Source organism: Homo sapiens, chromosome 7, assembly GCF_000001405.40.
Source record: "Homo sapiens chromosome 7, GRCh38.p14 Primary Assembly".
Taxonomy (NCBI): Eukaryota; Metazoa; Chordata; class Mammalia; order Primates; family Hominidae; genus Homo; species Homo sapiens.
In genome coordinates, this window is record NC_000007.14 from 74,615,259 (window position 1) to 74,629,887 (window position 14,629).

At 47.5% G+C, this 14,629-nt stretch overlaps 2 annotated features.

Annotated features, from left to right (window-relative positions):
• Positions 1,585-2,150: an enhancer, noted in NCBI's record as "H3K27ac-H3K4me1 hESC enhancer chr7:74031162-74031727 (GRCh37/hg19 assembly coordinates)". NCBI's record gives its function as "activates a minimal SCP1, AML or CMV promoter by ChIP-STARR-seq in naive H9 embryonic stem cells {active_cell/tissue: H9 hESC(naive)}" and the evidence as "EXISTENCE:reporter gene assay evidence [ECO:0000049][PMID:30033119]".
• Positions 2,151-2,715: an enhancer, noted in NCBI's record as "H3K27ac-H3K4me1 hESC enhancer chr7:74031728-74032292 (GRCh37/hg19 assembly coordinates)". NCBI's record gives its function as "activates a minimal SCP1, AML or CMV promoter by ChIP-STARR-seq in naive H9 embryonic stem cells {active_cell/tissue: H9 hESC(naive)}" and the evidence as "EXISTENCE:reporter gene assay evidence [ECO:0000049][PMID:30033119]".

Sequence of the window (14,629 nt, forward strand, 5' to 3'; positions counted from 1 at the left end):
TCACTTGAACCCGGGAGGCAGAGGTTGCAGTGAGCCAAGATCAAGCCACTACACTCCAGCCTGGGTGACAAGAGTAAAACTCCGTCTCAAAAAAAAAAAGGAACAATTGTATAATCCCACTTATGTGATATATCTAGAAAAGGTAAATTCACACAGACAGAAAATAGAATAAAGGCAACTAGAGATCAGGAGAAGGGGATATGGAGAGTTAGCGTTTAATGGGTAAAGAGTTTCTGTTTGGGGCCGGGCGCAGTGGTTTACATCTATAATCCCAACATTTTGGGAGGCTGAGGCAGGTGGATCACTTGAGGTCAGAAGTTCAAAACCAGCCTGGCCAACATGGCGAAACCCGTCTCTATTAAAAAAAAAAAAAAAAGAAAAGAAAAAGAAAAAATTTGAGACTCTGTCTCAAAAAAATAAATAATTAATTTTTTTAAAAATACAAAAATTAGCCAGGCCTGGTGGCACATGCTTGTAATCCCAGCTAATGGAGAGGTTGAGGCATGAGAATTGCTTGACCCTGGGAGGTAGAGTTTACAGTGAGCTGAGATTGAGCCATTGTACTCCAGCCTGGGCAAGAGAGCAAGACTTCATCTCAAAAAAAAAGCAAGTGTAGAAGAAAGAGTGGAAGGCAGTGTAGAAATATAAGTAGTAATTATCTTTCAGTAGTGGGATTATGAGTGTTTTTATTTTTTCCTCATGCTTTTCTCTTTGTATACTTTTCTTTTTCCTTTTTTTTTTTTTACATTTTTCTAAAATTAGCACATATTACACTTCTAATCAGGCAAAAATCAATGAGCGTTTTTTGGTTTGTTTGTTTTTAGACAAGGTCTCATTCTGTCACTCAAGCTGGAGTTTGGTGGCATGATCATAGCTCACTGCAGCCTTGAACTCCTGACCTCAAGCGATCCTCCTGCCTTAGCCTCCCAAAGCACTGGGATTACAGGCGTGAGCCACCATGCCTGGCCAACTGTTGTTTTCCCATAGCACATATTGTGCTTTGAATCAGAGTTGGCTGATACATGTCTCTTTCCCTTTGTCTTCTCTCGCCCCGACCGTGCACTCAGCGCCTAGAAGGCAGAAGCCATCTATGACCGTGGGGACCAAAGTGACACTCTGGAAATAGGGCGCATAAGGAGAGAGAGTGTGTGTTTCAGCAGCTGCTGCAGACTGCACCATCTAACCCTGAGCTGCTGTCACCCAAGAAAAGTGAAACTCATTTCTTATTTAAGCCACGGTTTGCAGGAGCTGAATGCAATCCTGACTGATCACCATATGCTCCATTTTCATTAAGCTAGAAAATTAGCCAGCCATGGTGGTGCATGCCTGTGGTCCCAGCTACTCCGGAGGCTGAGGCTGGAGGATCACTTGAGCACAGCAGGTAGAGGGTGCTGTGAGCTATGATCGTGCCACTGTACTCCAGCCTGAACCACAGAGCAAGACTCTGTTTCATAAAAATAAAGAGAAAAGGTAGAAAAATTACGTGTGTATGTGTGATCACTTACATGAGCATAAAGATGCTGAAGGATACATATCTTGCCATTAACATTGATAGTCAATATCAAGGGATAAGATTAGAGACAATGGAGAGATTATGAGGTTTCTATTTTTTAATTAATTAATTAATTATTTATTTTGAGGTAGAATCTCGCTCTGTCACCCGGGCTGGAGTGCAGTGGTGTGATCTCCGCTCACTGCAACCTTTGCCTCCCAAGTTCAAGCGATTCTCCTGCCTGAGCCTCCCAACGGCGAAACTCAGTCTCTACTAAAAATACAAAATTAGCCGGGCGTGGTGGCAGAGTGTGGTAGGTGCAGGCCTAGGGAGACTGAGGACATGGAAGGTTCGGTGGAGTTTTCCAGTTTGAGCCCAGGCCACCAGATTCAGAGTTGCTCCAAATTCCTTGGTGCAAAGGGTCAGGCTCCAGTTCCATTAGCCTAATGCAGCAGGCATCCAGGAGACCGGCAGGGCCCTGCCTGGGGACATGAGACCCAGAGGGGCAAGTGCAGCCTGGCAGAGGAGCAGAGTGACAGCTGTGGCATGTGGCGCTGGCCCCAGGCTCCCCAGAGGTGTGCCCTGGCTCTCATGAGCAGACCCAGTTACCTGCCCTGCTCTGGGGCTCTGAGATGGTGGCTGGATCCCATCTTACATGCAGCTGAGCTGGGCTGGGGCACACAGGAGCCAGGCGTGTGCCCAGTAACAAACAAAACCATGTGGCCATGCTTGCACATGATCCATGTCTTCTTGGTCAGCAGCTCTTTGCTGCTCAGAGCCTTCATGGCGCCTGCCCTGTGAAGCCACGTGGTGGGGACGGGGGTGGGGATCACAGTGCTGCTGGCCCAAACCCCCTCCCACACCCCTGCCTCCCTGCTCCTATTTCCTCTCTCGAGGCAGCCAAGGGTTTCCTGTCTTTCTGGCTGTCTGAGCGGCTTCCTCATTTATCTCTCAACATCTTGCAGCAGGTGCCATCGTTCCTTCTGTTCTTGGAAACTCAGACAGGCTGGGACCAAGCAGAGATCCGTGGGGATTGTTCAAAGGAGAGATGGCAGAGGGAAATGGCAGTGGGGTTAGTTTTGCAGGACCCAGCTAGGTTCTGGGGGAGCCAGCAGAGAGAAGGGTTTCTTTCTTTTCTCTCTCTGCTTTTTTTTTTTTTTTTTTTTCTGTTTTTAGAGACAGGGCCTTGCTCTAACACCCAGGTGGAGGCGCAGTGGCGTAATCACAGCTCACTGCAGCCTCGACCTCCCAGGTTCAAGTGATCCATGATTCTCCTGCCTCAGCCTCCTGAGTAGCTGGGACCACAGGCACACGCTACCATGCCCGGCTAATTTTTATTTTTGTAGAAATGGGGTCTCACTATGCTTCCCAGGCTGGTTTCAAACTCCTGTCCTCAAGAGGTTCTCCTGCCTTTTGGGGCCAAATTCCTGAAACCTGGACTGACTCCTGTGCCCCCTCCTCCTTTCTGACCCAGTAAAAGTCTTCTCTTTGCAGCTTCTGCACAGGGACCAAGTGAAATTGCTAACACGGGTCGGGCGCAGTGGCTCACACCTGTAATCCCAGCACTTTGGGAGGTTAAGGTGGGTGGCAGATCATTTGAGGTCAGGAGTTTGAGACCAGCCTGTCCAACATGGTAAAATCGCGCTGGGTGCGGTGGCTCACGCCTGTAATCCCGGCACTTTGGGAGGCCGAGACGGGCAGATCACGAGGTCAGGAGTTCTAGACCAGCCTGACCAACATGGTGAAACCTTGTCTCTACTAAAAATACAAAAATTAGCTGGGCCTGGTGGTGGGTGCCTGCAATCCCAGCTACTCGGGAGGCTGAGGCAGGAGAATCGCTTGAACCCAGGAGGCAGAGGTTGCAGTGAGCCGAGATCATGCCATTGCACTCCAGCCTGGGCAACAGGGCAAGACTCCATCTCATAAAAAAAAAAAAAAAAAAAAAAAAAAAGAATTGATTAAATGCCAACATGGTGAAATTTCATCTCAAAATACAAAAATTAGCTGGGCATGGTGGCACACACCTGTGGTCCCAACTACTTGGGAGGCTGAGGCGGGAGAATAACTTGAACCTGGGAGGCGGAGGTAGCAGTGAGCCAAGATCATGCCACTGCACTCCAGCCTGGGAGACAGAGTGAGACTCCAGCTCTGAAAAAAAAAAAAAAAAAGCAATTGTTAACAGAATCGTGGCTCCGAAAGTAGGGTTGCCAAATAAAATACAAGAAGCCTAGTCAAATGTGAATTTCAGATGAACAACAAATAATTGTTTTAGTGTAAGTTATGTCCATATATTGCAAGGAACATGATTGCACTCAAGAATTATTTGTTGTTTATCTGAAATTCAAATTCAACACAGCATCCCCTATTTTTATTTGCTAAATGTGGCAACCTGATCCTAAAACGGCTCAGCTTTCAAAGTTCTAATCAGATTTCTCAGAAAGGAAAGAGAGGGAGAAGGAGAGGGAACAAAAGAACAAATTGCCCCCTAAAGAAAGAAATCACTCCGTGTGCCTGAGCAATTGAGGGGCTTCCTCCTGCAGGCCCAGACACAGATGCCCCAGGAGAGAGGGCCAGGCTGTGTGAGACACTTAGGTGCTAATACTGGTTCAGCCACCAACTTCCCACCTCCCTGTAGGTCATCCCCGGGCAGTGGTTGGGATTCCCTGAGCTCCAGGGCACCTCCTCGCTGAAGATTCACAGGCCCCGGTGTCCTGGGTGCTGTCATTCATCGCACTAGTTCCCAGCACCCCCTCTGTCTGCAAAGGTCAGGCCCTGGGAGAGGAGTGAGACTCCTGGGCCCCCGAGCAGCTGGCTAGCAGGCAGATACAGACCCATAAACAGATCTCCAAGATCCAAGGGGGCAGAATTTCTGCCTTCTCCTTTAGACAGAGAGTTAGTCCCTGCTGAGCCCCGCACCTGTTCTCTCCCCTGTGCCAGCAGCCACTCAGGGATCTGCAGGGGCTGCCTACAGGTGATACTGGCTGCAGTGGCCCTAACATCGTCGACAAAAAAAAGCTCTCCATGGAGGCTGGGCGCGGTGGCTTACGACTATAATCCCAGCACTTTGGGTCGTTGAGGCGGATGGATCACCTGAGGTCAGGAGTTTGAGACCAGCCTGGCCAACATGGGCAAACCCCGTCTCTACTAAAAATATAAAAATTAGCCAGGCAGCTGGGCGAGGTGGGTCATGCATGTAATCCAGCACTTTGGGAGGCCGAGGTGGGTAGATCACCTGAAGTCAGGAGTTTGAGACCAGCCTGGTCGACGTGGTAAAACCTCGTCTCTACTGAAAAAAAAAAAAAAAAAAAAAATTGGCCAGGCGTGATGGTGGGCGCCTATAATCCCAGCTACTTGGAAGGCTGAGGCTGGAGAGTCGCTTGAACCCGGGAGCCAGAGGTTGTAGTGAGCCGAGATCGCGCCATTGCACTCCAGCCTGGGCGATAAGAGAGAAACTCCATCCCCCCAAAAAAATTAGCCAGGCATGGGCCGGGCGCAGTGGCTCATGCCTGTAATCCCAGCACTTTGGCAGGCCAAGGCCAGCGGATCACCTGAGGTCAGGAGTTCGAGACTAGCCTGGCCAACATGGTGAAACCCCATCTCTACTAAAAATACAAAAATTAGCCAGACGTGGTGGAGGGCGCCTGTAATCCCAGCTACTCGGGAGGCTGAGGCATGAGAATTGCTTGAACCCAGAAGGCGGAGGTTACAGTGAGCCAAGGTCACACTACTGTGCTATAGCCTGGGCAATAGAGCAAGACTCAGTCTCAAAAAAAAAAAAAATTAGCCAGGCATGGTGACAGCTGCCTGTAGTCCCAGCTACTTGGTAGGCTGAGGCACAAGAATCATTTGAATCTGGGAGGCAGAGGTTGCAGTGAGCCGAGATTATGCCACTGCATTCCAGCCTGGGCAACAGAGCGTGACTCCGTCTCAAAAAAAAAAAAAAAAAAAGCTCTCCATGCAGTCCCCTCATTCTTTCTTTTTTTTTTTTTCTTTTAGCATTAGGATCCTTCCCTGTCCCTCTCGAGTAGCTGGATTACAGGCTCCTGCCACTGCGCCTGGCTAATTTTTGTATTTTTAGTAGAGACGGGGTTTCACCATGTTGGTCAGGCTAGTCTCAAACTCCTGACCTCGTGATCTGCGCGCCTCAGCCTCCCAAAATGCTGGGATGGTAGGCGAGAGCCACTGCGCCCGGCAATCCTTGTCTTTTTATTATTGAGTTATAGTTCTTTACATATCTAGATACAGTCCTGGATCAGATATATGATTTGTAAAAATGGTTCCCTGTTCTGAGATTTTCTTCTCACTTTCTTGATGGTGTCTTTCAAAGCATAATTTTTTTTTTTGAGACGAAGTTTCGCTCTCGTTGCCCAGGCTGGAGTGTGCAATGGTGCAATCTCAGCTCACCACAACCTCTGCCTCCCGGGTTCAAGCGATTCTCCTGCCTCAGCCTCCTGACTAGCTGGGATTACAGGCATGTGCCACCAAGCCCAGCTAATTTTGTATTTTTAGTAGAGGTGGGGTTTCTCCATGTTGGTCAGGCTGTTCTTGAACTCTCGACCTCAGGTGATCCGCCCACCTCGGCCTCCCAAAGTGTTGGGATTACAGGCATGAGCCACCGCACCCAGCGTTTTTTGTTTTTTTAAATAGAGCCTCGCTCTGTCGCCCAGGCTGGAGCACAGTGGTGCAGTTTCAGCTCACTGTAACTTCCATCTCCCACGTTCAAGTGATTCTCCTGCCTCAGCCTCCCGAGTAGCTGGGATTACAGGCATGCACCATCACGCCTGACTAATTTTTGTATTTTTAGTAGAGATGGGGTTTTGCCGTGTTGGCCAGCCTGGTCTGGAACTCCTGACCTCAGGTGATCCACCTGCCTGGGCCTCCCAAAGTGCTGGGATTACAGGTGTGAGCCACCGTGCCCGGCCCCTGTTTGGTTTTAAAAGGACACATTGATCAGCACAGATGTTCATCACTGGGCTATTTATAATAATCAAATAGAGGCAATATCTAAATGTTCCACAGTAGAAGATGGTTAAGTGGATGTTGATGACAATGATGATGATGACAACGAATATTCCTCATGGCTTATTCTGTGCCAAACACTGTGCAAATGACCTTATATGAAAATTATCGGCCAGGCATATTGGCTCACACTTGTAACCCCAGCACTTTGGGAAGCCGAGGCGGGCGGATCACCCAAGTTCAGGAATTTCGAGACCAGCCTGGGCAACATGGTGAAACCCCATCTCTACAAAAAATACAAAAATTAAAAAAAAAAAAAAAGAAATACAAAAATTAGCTGGGCGTGGTGGCACGTGCCTCTAGTCCCAGCTATTCAGAGACCAAGGCAAGAGAATCTCTTCAGCCTGGGAGGTGGAGGTTGCAGTGAGCCAAGATCACACCACTGCACTCCAGCCTGGGTGACAGAGCAAGACCTTGTCTCAAAAAAAGAAAAAAGAAAAAAGAAGTGGGGGCGGAGGGGAGGGGAGGAGAGGGGAGGAAAGGAGAGGGAAGGAGAGAAGAGGAGAGGAGAGGAGAAAAATTACTATTAAGCGTAAGTTATCATTTTCCAACCTGATAAAGGGCATCTACAGGCTAGGCACAGTGGCTCATGCCTGTGATCCCAGCACTTTAGGAGGCTGAGGGAGGAGGGCTGCTTGAGGCCGGGAGTTCAAGCCTAGCCTGGGCAACACAGCAAGACTCCATCTCTACAAAAAAAAAAAATTTTTTTTAATTAGCCAGCCGCAGTGGCACATCCCTGTGTTTCCACCTACTCAGGAGGCTGAGACAGGAGGATCTCTTGAGCCCACAAGTTGGAGGCTGAAGTGAGCTATGATCACGCCACTGCACTCCAGCCTGGGCAACAGAGCAAGATCCTCTCTCAGAAAGAAAGCAAAACAGGAGAAAATTTGGACACAGAGGCAAAAGGAAGACTAGGTGGGGAGACTCAGCAAGAACACCATGTGAAGGCGCATGTTTGGAGCAATGCATCTACCAGCTGACGAATGCCAAAGGTTGCCAGGAAACCACCAGACCCTAGGACAGAGGCATGGGACAGATTCTCACCATCATCCTTGTCATCATCACCCACTTAACACAGCCTGCACAGGGAATCAACCCTGCTGACATGTTCACTTTTGGGCTCTGGCCTCCAGACCTGCAAGACAATAAACTACTTTTTTGTGTGTGTTCAGACAAGGTCTCACTCTGTTGCCCAGGCTAGAGCACAGTGGCACAATCTCAGCTCACTGCAACGTCGGCTTCCCTGGTTCAAGCGATTCTCGTGCTTCAGGCTCCTGGGTAGCTGGGATTTTAGGCGCGCACCACCATGCCTGGCTAATAGTAAACTTCTTTAAAAAGGATGGCCAGGCATGGTGGCGCATGCCTGTAATCCCAGCTACTCGGGAGGCTGAAGCCAGAGGATCACTTGAACCTGTGAGGCAGAGGTTGCAGTGAACTGAGGTTGTGCCACTGTGCTCCAGCCTGGGCGGCAGAGTGAGACTCTGTCTCAAAATAACAATAATAATAATAAAACACACACACGCAATTATTACCAAAAAACTGATACGGTGCTACATCAGTAAATACGGTAATAATAAATACGACCCTAGCAGCAGGCACTAAATCCTGCAGAAACAAAGAGGAGAACACAGCCCACCCTGCCAGGATGAGTTGAAGGACATTTTCAAGGAAGAGCCTATCCTTAGCTGAGCCTTGAGAAAAAGAATTCTCCACCAGGCGCGGTGGTTCACGCCTGTAATCCCAGTACTTTGGGAGGCCAAGGCAGGTGGATCACCTGAGGTCAGGAGTTCGAAACCAACCCGCGCAATATGGCGAGACCTCATCTCCACTAAAAACACAAAAATGAGCTGGGCGTGGTGGTGGGCGCCTGTAGTTCCAGCTACTCGGGAGGCTGAGGCAGGAGAATTGCTTGAACCCAGGAGGCGGAGGTTGCAGTAAGCCAAGATTGCGCCACTGTCCTCCAGCCTGGGTGACAGAGAGACTATTTTTATCTGTCTCCAAAAAAATAAAAAAATAAAAAAAACGAAACAAGAATTATCTGGAATTCAGCCGTAGGAAGGTTTTTTCAGGTGTGCGTGAAAGAACACAGGCATGAAATATCCTGTCTGGCATGTGGCAGTATGTTTGTTACTGAAATGTTCTTAAAATAACAGAGATGAGCCAGGCGTAGTGGCTCACGCCTGTAATCCCAACACTTTGGGAGGCTGAGGCAGGCGGATCACTAGAGGTCAGGAGTTTGAGACCAGCCTGGCCAACATGGTGAAACCCCATCTCTACTAAAAATACCAAAAAAAAAAAAAAAAAAAATTAGCTGGGTGGGTGTGGTGGTGGGTGCCTGTAATCTCAGCTACTCGGGAGGCTGAGGCAGGAGAATCGCTTGAACCCAGGAGGCAGAGGTTTCAGTGAGCCGAAATCGCGCCACCGCACTCCAGCCTGGGAGACAGAGTGAGACTCCGTCTCAAAAAATAAAATAAAATAAATAACAGAGATGAAGTTCTGTAAAGAACAATTTTCATAATCCTTAGCTCCTCTTTGCTAATTTGAATTACAACAGAAATACTATTTCTTTTTTTAATTAATCCCAGCACTTTGGGCGACCAACGCAGGAGGATTGCTTGAGCCCAGGAATTCGAGATTAGCCTGGGCAACATAGGGAGACCTTGCCTCTACAAAAAATTTAAAAATTATCCAGGTGAAGTGGCACATGCCCGAAGTCCCAGCTACTCTGGAGGCTGAGGTGGGAGGATCACTTGAGCCCAGGAGATTGAGGCTGCAATAAACTATGATGGCCCCACTGTACTCCAGCCTGGGCAACAGAGTGAGACCCTGTCTCAAAAAAAAAATTAATTAAATTGAAAGAAAAAGAGAAAAAGAGGCTGAGTGTGGTGGGAAAATCAAGTGGGAAGATCACTTGAGGCCAAGAGTTCAAGACCAGCCTAGGCAACATAGTGAGACCCTGGTCTCTATACTTAAAAAATAAAATAAAAAGAAATCTTGGGCCGGGTGCAGTGGCTCATGCCTGTAATCCCAGCACTTTGGGAGCCGAGGCAGGTGGATCATCTGAGGTCAGGAGTTCGAGACCAGCCCGGCCAACATGGTGAAACCCCGTCTCTATTTAAAATACAAAAATTAGCCAGGCATGCCAGGCGCAGTGGCTCATGCCTGTAATCCCAGCACTTTGGGAGGCTGAGGTGGCTGGATCACGAGGTCAGGAGTTCAAGACCAGCCTGGCCAACATGGTGAAACTCCATCTTTACTAAAAATACAAAACTTAGCCACACGCAGTGGCAGGAGCCTGTAATCCCAGCTACTCAGGAAGCTGAGGCAAGAGAATCACTTGAACCCAGGAGACAGGGTTTGCAGTGAGCCAAGATCATGCCACTGCACTCTAGACTGGGCAACAGAGCAAGACTCTGTCTCCAAAAAAAAATTAGCTGGGCATGGTGGCGCACACCTGTAATCCCAGCTACTTGGGAGGCTGAGGCACAAGAATCAGTTGAACCCAGGAGGCAGAGATTGCAATGAGCCGAGATCTCACCACGGTACTTCAGCCTGGGTGACAGAGCAAGACTCCATCTCAATTTAAAAAAAAAAAAAAGAAAGTTTTTTTTTTATTTCTAAGCACATTGTTAGAATATTCTAACCACTTTCAAACTGACCCACGATGATAAAACTGCAGTTTCAGGCCAATGATTCCCAGGGGAAATAAGGGAACTTTATACAATGGTGATCTAAGGGAACTTTACACAACGTTGTTGACTAGAGGAACACTCTGGAAGACAGCGAATGTGGATTCTTGCCTAAACTGGAAGTTTATAAAAATTTTCCATGAGGTGGCAGCAGTTCTTCAAGTAGTTGTGAAAAATGATCTTGTTTGAAATTTATATTTTCTTTTTTTTTTTTTTTTTTTTTTTAGAGACAAGGTCTCGCTGTGTCACCCAGGCTGGAGTGCAGTCCTGTGATTATAGCTCACTGCAACCTTGACCTCCTGTGCTCCAGCAATCCTCCTGCCTCAGTCCTCCAAGTAGCTGGGATTACACATGCAAGCCACCATGTCCAGCTAATTTTCTTTTTATTTTTTTGTAAAGATGGAGTCTTGCTCTGTTGCCCAGGCTGGTCTCAAACTCTTGGCCTCAAGAGATCCTCCCAGTTTGGCCTCTCAATTAGATTTCCTTTCTTTCCTTTCTTTTTTCCCTCCTTCCCTCCCTCCCTCCCTCCTTTCCTTCCTTCCTTCCTTCCTCCTTTCTCTTCTTTTTTTTTTTTGAGACAGAGTCTCGCTCTTGTTGCCCAGGCTGGAGTGCAATAGCACAATCTCAGCTCACTGCAACCTCTGCCTCCTGGGTTCAAGCAATTCTCCTGCCTCAGCCTCCCAAGTAGCTGGGATTACAAGTGCCCACCACCACAACCGGCTACTTTTTGTATTTTTTTTTTTTTTTTTTTTTTTTGAGACGGAGTCTCGCTCTGTCGCCCAGGCTGGAGTGCAGTGGCGGGATCTCGGCTCACTGCAAGCTCCGCCTCCCGGGTTCACACCATTCTCCTGCCTCAGCCTCCCAAGTAGCTGGGACTACAGGCGCGTGCCACTACGCCCGGCTAATTTTTTTTTGTATTTTTAGTAGAGACGGGGTTTCACTATGTTGGCTGGATTGGTCTCAAACTCCTGAGCTCTGGTGATCCACCCACTCCCTCTCTCCCTCCCTCTCTTCCTTCCTTCCTTCTTTCATTCCTTTCGTCCTTCCTTTCTTCTTTCCTCCCTCCCTCCCTTCCTTCTTTTTCTTTCTTCTTTCTTTCTCTTTCTTTTCTTTGCTTTGTTTTGCTTTGCTTTCTTTTTCTTTCTCCACCACAGAGGTCTCTTTCATACACTTGGATTTGTCTGTTTAAATAAAACCTATGATTTAAAATATATATATAAAGGCCAGGCATAATGGCTCATGCCTGTAATCCCAGCACTTTGGGAGGCCGAGGCGGGTGAATCCCTTGAGGTTAGGAGTTCAAGACCAGCCTGGCCAACATGATGAAACCCCGTCTCTACTAAAAATGCAAAAATTGGCCAGGTGTGGTGGCACACTCCTGTAATCCCAGCTACTCAGGAGGCTGAGGCAGGAGAATCACTGCACCTGGGAGGAGGAAGTTGCAGTGGGCCGAGATTGCACCACTGCACTCCAGCCTGGGCCACAGAGCAAGACTCCATCTCAAAAATACATATATACATATATATATATTTTGTTTTTTTAGACAGTTTTTTTTTTTGTTTTTTTTTTGTTTTTTTTTTTTTGTTTTTGAGACAGAGTCTTGCTCTGTCACCCAGGGTGGAGTGCAGTGGGTCAATCTCAACTCAGTGCAACCTCCGCCTCTGGGGCTCCGCCATCCTCCCCACTCAGCCTCCCAAGTAGCTGGAACTACAGCTGTACACCACCATAACTGGCTAATTTTTGTATTTTTTGTGTGTGGAGATGGGAGATTTCGCCGTATTTCCCAGGCTGGTCTCAAATTCCTGACCTTAAGTTATCCGCCTGCCTCGGCCTCCCAAAGTGCTGGGATTACAAGCATGAGCCACCTCGGCCGGAACAATTTAAAAATATTTAAAGTCGTTTTAAGTGTCACTCTTTTCTTAACAGTATTTTCTACCAATTAATGCCAACTGAGGTTCTTCTATCTTTCAAGTCCATTTCCAAACAGTCTAAGGAAAGATGCAAAATTCAATTTCCACTCCAGCTACTGGAAAGCAGTATTTAATTTTAGTCCTGCCAAACAAAATGAAGCAAGCGGTAAGTGATTGTGGCACATGGAAGTGTTTCATGCTTCAGACCGATTGAGTTCGTTGTCCTTTACTTTCCACTCTGAGGCTGGCTGCCCTGTTAATTTCCATTTTCTCAGGGATTACACTGATCTCAATTTACACCGTAATAATAATAAGAAGAAAAGAATCAAGCTAAGTAAATTACAGCAGAGAGCAAAACGTGGAATGGATGGGCCCTTACAGAAGAGACTTGTTTTCAGGCTGAGAACAAAGGAGTGTGGATGGATTAGGACAGCCTGAGTCCAGCCTCAGCCTCTTACCAGCTGGGCTCCTCACCTGATCTCTCTAAGCCGGTTTTTTCAAGCACAAACATAATGACAACAATACCTACTTAGAGGATTTGGGAATGCAAAGAGGAGAAAAAATATCCATGAAAATACTTGAAAAAATTTTCCGTGCCGCACACGTCGGCTGCAGTTAGATCAGGTATTTATCAAGTCACCCAAATATTTTTACCCACCAGCTTTTCTCTCCTCCTACTTTTTGCCTGTCTCCCATGCCAGAGAGACAAAGGAGGTAAAAACCAAAGTCCTCATCCTCTTCTCAATCAATTCATTGGCTGGTTCTCATCCCTGGCTGCAGATCACAGACCCCGGGGAGCCTTCGCCCCACCCCAGGGCCATTGCAACAATCCCTCCGGGGTGGGGCATGGGCTTGAAGCCACCACTTCATAAACCCTCTCTCTGAACGTCCTTGAAAGGACTCTGCCATACCCTGGGAGGTCACGTGGTTTTCTTGCTAAGGCTACTGCCAGCCAAGAAACCAAAGCTTTTGCTGAAATGAATCTGTTAAACAGCTGCTTCAAATTCAACCTCACAGATCCCTGGGGTATGAAACTGTCTGCCCTCATGGAGTTAAATGGGCATACTTTCATTCTGGTATGATTGCAGCATTTTAACTAGCAATGTTATGGAGTTTTTCAACATTGAAAGTGGTTATCTGTGACCCATAATTTGCGAGATCTTTAATTTAATATAATTAGAGGGACACTCCTGAAACAAACGTCCACATAACCAAAGGCATTAGATGACTACTCAAATACATTACTTCAGCACCTTTCTCCTTTCCCTTTCCTCTTCCGTGTCTCTTCCCAAAAATGATGCTTAAATTCAGAGGTTTGGGTTTTGGGGGATTTTTTTTTTAACTAATTAAGCAATTTATCGGTTGCAACTAAGCTTATTAAACTTCTGTAATGAAAATATTACTTGTTTTTGGCCGGGCACGGTGGCTCACACCTGTAATCCCAGCACTTTGGGAGGCCAAGGCGGGTGGATCACCTGAGGTCAGGAGTTCGAGACCAGCCTGACCAACATGGAGCAATCCGGTCTCTGCTTAAAATACAACATTAGGCGGGCGTGGTAGTGCATGCCTGTACTCCCAGCTACTCAGGAGGCTGAGGCAGGAGAATGGTGTGAACCCGGGAGGCGGAGCTTGCAGTGAGCCAAGATCACGCCACTTCACTCCAGCCTGGGCGACAGAGCGAGACTCCGTCTCAAAAAAAAAAAAAAAGAAAAAAGAAAATATTACTGGTTTTTGGTTAGTTTTAAGTCAGAGGCATTCATTAATAAGGAATCTTCAAATGTGAGTGTTCCAGAAATGTTCTCCATGCCATCTGAATTATCAAGAATAAGTTTCTCTAGCCAGGCGTGGTGGGTTCATGCCTGTAATCCCAACACTTTGGGAGGCTGAGGGCAGCCTTAAGGTCAGGAGCCTTAAGATCACTTAAGGTCAGGAGTTCGAGACCAGCCTGGTCAACATAGTAAAACCCCCTTTCTACTAAAAACACAAAAATTAGTCGGATGTGGTAGTGGGCGCCTGTAATCCCAGCTACTCGAGAGACTGAGGCAGGAGAATCGCTTGAACCCAGGCAGCGGAGGTTGCAGTGAGCCAAGATCGTGCCACTGCACTCCAGCCTGGGCGACAGAGCGAGACTCTGTCTCCAAAAAAAAAAAAGAGTAAATAATAATTTTCTCTAGGCCGGACACCAGGTGCAGTGGCTCATGCCTGTAATCCCAGCACTTTGGGAGGCCAAGGTGGGTGGATTACTTGAGGCCAAGCGTTTGAGACCAGCAGGATTACAACATGGTAAAAACCCACTCTACAAAAAATACGAAAAATTAGCCAGGTGTGGAGGCAGGCACTTGTAGCTAGTCAGGACACGAAGGTGGGAGGATCACTTGAGCCCAGGAAATCGAGGCTTCAGTGAGCTGTGACTGTACCATTGCCCTGAAGCCTGAGCAACAGAACAAGACCCTGTCTCAAACAAACAAAAACATCTCTAACATTACCTTTTTCTGCGAAATATCTGTGTACATTTGAAC